The sequence below is a fragment of the Homo sapiens genome, chromosome 8, assembly GCF_000001405.40.
Source record: "Homo sapiens chromosome 8, GRCh38.p14 Primary Assembly".
Taxonomy (NCBI): Eukaryota; Metazoa; Chordata; class Mammalia; order Primates; family Hominidae; genus Homo; species Homo sapiens.
In genome coordinates, this window is record NC_000008.11 from 50210673 (window position 1) to 50217643 (window position 6971).

The 6971-nt window shown below is 33.2% G+C and overlaps 1 protein-coding gene across 21 annotated transcripts in view; it reads left to right on the forward strand.

Moving 5' to 3' along the window:
* SNTG1 (syntrophin gamma 1) overlaps positions 1-6971 on the forward strand; it is an 886897-nt gene that overhangs the window by 300877 nt on the left and 579049 nt on the right. The gene's annotated exons all lie outside the window — the stretch shown is intronic.

A 6971-nucleotide genomic window follows, 5' to 3' on the forward strand; every position in this document is an offset into this window, starting at 1 on the left:
ATAAATATTTTAATGACAATCCCCTCCTCATTGGTACATAGTTAGATAATGATTAAAACTTAAAGGATTTTCACTGTTGAGTTTGTACCACTCAAGGATTTTGCAGTAGACCAGTAAATTTAAAAACAAAAACAAAAACAAAAAACATAATTCATGTTATGATACTTTAGTTCTTAGAAATGACAGGTTAAAAAATGTACCATATTAGAAGCTAGACCTAATTGTACATAGTCACTAATTAGCTTTTCTCTTAGCTAAGTCATGTATCTTTCTAGATATTATTTGTAGTGCAAAATACCCCTGCAATGAGTGTAATTTATGCATTGGTAATGTATGATTGCTTCTTTCAAGTCTAATATTTTAGAATCCATGTTGTTAAACAATATTAAGTTGGAATATGGGTGTTACAAATTCAGATCAGAAATATGTAATGTAGTATAATCATCCCAAAATATGTTGACTCTAGAGGCTGTGCACAATGGATTTTTTAAAATTACAAATGGTAATATTGAGGTAAAGTACATAACTTAGTGTAAAGAAACATGGAAATTTATTGTTTAGTACTATCAAGAGTATATTAAAAGGTCTGCTTAACTTAATGAAAATTATTTTTAATATCTTAAATGCACCCTTAGAAACAATAGCTATTATCTGGCTTTTGAAGTGATTTGGTAAGATCTTTGTTATCAGAGAAATATTACATTTCATTTTCTCCATATAATTATATTCATTTAATAATAATTGACTAACATTGTTTATGTACTTGGTGCCATGCATTGTGCTAGTTCTTTAATGCATTATCTTTCTTAATCCTGAGAGCAACACTGTAAAGTCAATAATTTTATACTCAGTTGCACCAATGAGATTGCAAGACTATTAGGATCAGTATAAGAATTCTAAGCCAACATGGATTTGATTCAGAACTGCTATGTATTGCTACTTCTCAATTAAAACAATTCTAAGAGAAATGAAACAATTATCAATGAACTGAGCCATAAGATTCCACGTCTTATTTTTTTAAAAGAGAGATATCAAACATTTTTAAAAAATGTTTTATTTTCATAAGAAACATTGCAATTACAAATACAAAATCATTTTGCTTCAGTGAGATCAAAGAAGGTTTACATTTGACAGTATCTGACACTCAAGTTTCAAAAGTTATTTTCCTGTTATTCTGTGTTTTCTGAATCTCTAGTATCTGAGTAGACAGTTGTGAGAGAGATCAATAGAATTTTTCTCTCAAGGTGTTATTATTTTCTAAAGGAGAAATAGAAAATAAATAAAATAAAAAGACAGGCTGTTATATGTGTTCTGCAGTAATTCTTGAATTTATTCAGAAATTTCCATAATAATTTTAATGAATTAAATAAATATACTATCACGCATTTTGGCAACATTGAGAATAGCCCCCAAATTTTACATCTTTCTCTCAAAACTGGTTTTTTTTTCTCTCATTTTCTTCATCAGCGGACTTAATACAAACTCAGCAATTTCTTGTACAGTATCTGTTTTAACTTTCACTGTGATAATGAGGGAAGTCATTCAAACAAATCAGCTCTGTTGCCTGGGCAACACGTTTCTTTCCTGTGTTCATCCAGTTCCAGATAGGGGTCCATTTTAACCATAAGTAAAGCTATGTAGATTATATCCCCTAATGAATGATAGAGATTTTATCAAATGTGAGTAATGAAAATTGCCTCTAGGAGAAATTGCTCTTTATAGAGCAATTGAGTTTAGGGTTGAGATGCAGGATTACATGAACATAATCTCTCCATACCTATTGAACATTCATTAGGAAACATTCTCTGAGCACATAAGTAATGTGTGATGTATACAGAAAGATACAGATCCATGCTCTCCAAGAATTCATGGTAAGAGGGGGAGATGAGCAAGAAAATAAAAAGGGGAAAGCTGATAATACTTTCTCATAAGAAAATGATAAGTATTCTGTTTTCCTATTACAACGGGCCACAGTGGTATGAGACAGTTAATTCTCATCTCTAGCATGTGGTCTACTCACCAAAGCCATGTCTATATATACTCTGTGGCAGAAAAATTCAAATTCTGAAAGTGCTGTTGAATGGAACAGATCAGACACAGTTTTGTCCATGAGGCAGCAAAATTGGCTGAAATTCAAAAGTGCCATTCAGTTTCTTCCAGCAGCTGTGTTGTAAGATCAGACTGACCAATTTGAATAGAAGTTTTGGCTGGAAGTTCTCAGAACTATTCTGTGAGAGAACGTGTGGAAGCAACCCCAGAGCAATTGAGACCTGCCTATGCGATGGCAAACAGCATTTTAATGATGCCTCTCCCAATAAACTCCATTTGGAAATAACATTTCTTCTGCCTCTAAACTACTCATATTTTATTGCCTGCTATGCATTCCCTTGAGTCTTTGCAGTGTTCACATATATCATCTTCCCTATGAAAGAGTAGACACACATCATCACTTATCGAAAATTCTCAGACAGGCTTGCTTGTGCATAGGCGGTGTGCCAATAGATATTTCTAGAAGGAAATAAATCATCATATATGTGTGGAGGTGGCAAAATCTTAACATCTGAACAGGAATTTCTCAGTGAAGTATTCTGTATAGGAATTTCTTTCATATGGCTCCAGCAAACCAAATTATATTCTTGTGAATAATTACTGAGTGATAAAAGCAAACCCAAAAGGAATGAAAGTAGTACTGATAAAATTGACTTAAAAAGTATGTAGGCTATGTCATACCACATACCAATTGCTGTGAGGGGGATGTTTTCTGGCATATGAATAAATTCATGTGAGTTGATTTGAAAATAAACTATTTTGTCATCAAAATTTTGGGAAAAATAAATATGTACTTTATTTTCAATCACAGCATTAGAAAAAAATCAAAATTTTCTGTTCCTATTTCTCCACATCCTCTCCAGCACCTGTTGTTTCCTGACTTTTTAATGATTGCCATTCTAACTGGTGTGAGATGGTATCTCATTGTGGTTTTGATTTGCATTTCTCTGATGGCCAGTGATGGTGAGCATTTTTTCATGTGTTTTTTGGCTGCATAAATGTCTTCTTTTGAGAAGTGTCTGTTCATGTCCTTCGCCCACCTTTTGACGGGGTTGTCTGTTTTTTTCTTGTAAATTTGTTTGAGTTCATTGTAGATTCTGGATATTAGCCCTTTGTCAGATGAGTAGGTTGTGAAAATTTTCTCCCATTTTGTAGGTTGCCTGTTCACTCTGATGGTAGTTTCTTTTGCTGTGCAGAAGCTCTTTAGTTTAATTAGATCCCATTTGTCAATTTTGGCTTTTGTTGCCATTGCCTTTGGTGTTTTAGCCATGAAGTCCTTCCCCATGCCTATGTCCTGAATGGTAATGCCTAGGTTTTCTTCTAGGGTTTTTATGGTTTAAGGTCTAATTTGCAGCCATAAAAAATGATGAGTTCATGTCCTTTGTAGGGACATGGATGAAATTGGAAATCATCATTCTCAGTAAACTATCACAAGAACAAAAAACCAAACACCGCATATTCTCACTCATAGGTGGGAATTGAACAATGAGAACACATGGACACAGGAAGGGGAACATCACACTCTGGGGACTGTTGTGGGGTGGGGGGAGGGGGGAGGGATAACATTAGGAGATATACCTAATGCTAAATGACGAGTTAATGGGTGCAGCACACCAGCATGGCACATGTATACATATGTAACTAACCTGCACATTATGCACATGTACCCTAAAACCTAAAGTATAATAATAATAAAATAAAAATAAAAATAAAAAATGAAAAAAATCAAAATTTTATATTCTCTTTATGTTTATGTGGACCAGTAAAATAGTCAGAAAACCACTTTGGACTGGATGATACAACAGTTTTCACCTACAGGGACACAAGTGTTTGAATTTTCTATGTACTTGGAAAATTGGGGTCAAGAAAATACATTTCGTGCACTCATCTACTGTGTTTTATTTTCTGCTCCTGGTAATTTCCTTGGTGTTCTTTGTGTAATGTAATTGGCTTGACTTGATTCAATACTAAGCCTATATCTCTAATAACAGTGTTATTTGGGATCTGGCAAGGCCTTTTCAATTGTCCACCCTAGGGTTGGACACTTAAAATAAAAATAAAAGGGACCTGGCAAATAGAGAATAGCCAAGTCAAAAAATTGCAAGTGAGATGGGCTTAACTCCAGTACCCTGACAAAGCTGAGGATACTATAGAATAGTAACATGCTAGAAGCAAGGGGAAACTGTCTCGCAACTCAGCTACCTGGATGTCTCAAAGAGACCTCATTTGACTTCATTTAGTGGCACGTCCAGTGGCGTTGAAGGCAAAGGCAAAGAAATCTGTTTTCCTCTTCCAATTCTGAGAATCAAAATGCTGTAGACTGAGTTTGCTTTGCAGGGTGGGTTCTCATCTTGGGCTGACCACCAGATGGCCACATGTGCACCAGTCCCGGAAGATCATTCTCCTGGGGCCCTGTCTCCTAGGGCAGGAACCACTCCTTTAATTACAATCGAGTGGAAGTCACAAGACAAAAACAGAACAATCAGCTGAGACTTTTAGAAGATTACATTCTTCAGGAGATTTTGATGTTTTTATTTTTTTATAATAAAAGTTAAAATATCCATCTGGGAAAAGTTGTATGAGGAAGAACAAGACATTTTAATATTGGATACCTCAGTTTGAAGTGTGAACAAGGGGCATAGAGAAATGTGTATATAAATATATATATGTGTATATATACTATATATATATACTATATATATTTTATATATATAGTCTATATATATGTAGTCTCTCTATATAATATATATATATAGACTATATATATATAGACTATAGGCATAGATGAAAGGTTGAGATTAGTTTAAGATATCCTGACATTTTATTATAATTGTTATTTCAAGTGACAATAATAAGGATCAATTAGGTTTATAACAAAGGTGATAAATTATAGCTTAATTTAAAAAATAATTTTAAAAGTATTATCAATCCAGAGAAACTGTTGAACTCTAGGTACTCATCGAATCCAAGCTCTCTCCTTTCAAAAAGATTATAGGCAGAGACATATCTTCTGAGACTAAAATCCAATCACTTTCAAACTTTCTAGAAAGTTTTCAGAAGGAGATTATGAATTTAATTAAATTTAATCTCAGCTAACTCTTCACATGGCATCTGCCACATGGATAACAAGGATCAATGCAAAAAACTTCTTATGAGTAATATGCAGTTTAATTGCAAAACTGAATTAGTGATAACTTTCACTAGAATAGGCTTATTTATGGTAAAATGTATTAACAAATCTATCAAGATTTATTGTAAAATCAAGGAATTTTTTTACAGAAAGCCAGAGAGTGTCTATCTCACTCAGGAGCATGGCTCAGGTGGGTCTTCCCTCCTGAAAAATGTCTGATTCTTTGGTACTGACAGATGGCTTGGACACCTGTCATTCCAAGGACTGTTTTCAATGGGTCAGCTGATTTGGCTGGCTAGATTGATTTGCTCCTTCTGTATCTTTCCATGTAAGCATCTTTAAAAGCCACAAAAGGATAGGAACATTTGTAAATGACCTTTTTACATATTGCTGATCTCTTTTCATGTTTTAGTTTTACCTTCCCTCTCATTAATCACTTCTAGTTCCATGTGTTTTTATCTCTTTGTTTCACATGTTGTCTTTTACTCAACTTCTTTTGAAATGTAGAACTATCTTTTCAGTAAGATAATACATTGCTGAAGGAAAGAAGTGTCCCACTTATTTTTTCAATAATCACATATTAGGTTGTTATAAGAGTCTGGCATGAGGGAAATAAGTAGACTCCATAAATTTATACTGTTAAGAGTAGCAACAGACTTAGGGGATGAAAGCAGGTTGCTTCGAATCTATCACATCCTTTTGTTATAAATTACTTAGACAAATTTGCTTTAGATTTTATCTGAAGGGGTGTATACTAGACAGTATAATTAAAGGAACATTTTTTCTGGGTCTAGAATATGGTAATTACAACTTTGTTGGCAATTAAGAAAAATAACCATGGATCGTGCTATTTGAATGTTGAATTAGAAATTAAAATTCTTAATGTCTGAGAATTATTTTCATAAGAAGAGGAAAGTTGCTAAAATTTTATGTCAACAATTGCCCAAAAAGTGTAACTTAGTGAATGATTTTAGAGATTACTGGATGCATTTATTCCAGAATGCATGCCAGAATAGCATTTGGAGAACCATCACTAAGAGGTTTGTTACATCAGAGACTAGTCAACATACCAGATAGTATCCTGTTAATATTTAACAGAAGTAGAAAACTTATTTATTGAGTTTGGGAGAAAAGCAATTCAAGGGTAAATTTATAAAATATATATATATTTATAAGTTTATTAGTATTGAAAATTAATGAAACAAATGGGCTGACAAACAAATGAAACAAATGGGCTGACACCAAAAGAAGTTGATTTTTAAGCCGATGATTCAACTTAGTGTAGACATATTAATTAATAAAAGTAAAACTTCATCATGATATGACTACATATTTAAATATTACTCATTTATGAATGGTTAATATACTGGTACACACCATAATTTGTTTCATATTGATGATGTAAAATCTCATGTAGGAAAAGTGTAATAAAACCACCTTGGCCTATGATGAAAGAAGTATTAATGAAGGGGAGTCATTTTTTTCAATCACTGGGAAGACAGCCCAAAGGGATAAAGCACTATATATATATTATATGTCAGAATCAATCTTAAAAACTCTATTTCCTGACCTTTGCAATAAAACCCAGTCACCTATTTGTACTCTTACTTAGCACCTTCATAATATGTGCTGTCATGTAATGTTCTTACCTTAAGTCTGTATACTGAAAATAGGCCAATAGCAGATTTAATAGAAAAAAGTCGAGTGGGTGCACACAAGGCCAAATCTATTTACAATTTAATTACAGGATCTAGAATCAACTTATGATATTAAAAACCTATTATATTAAAGG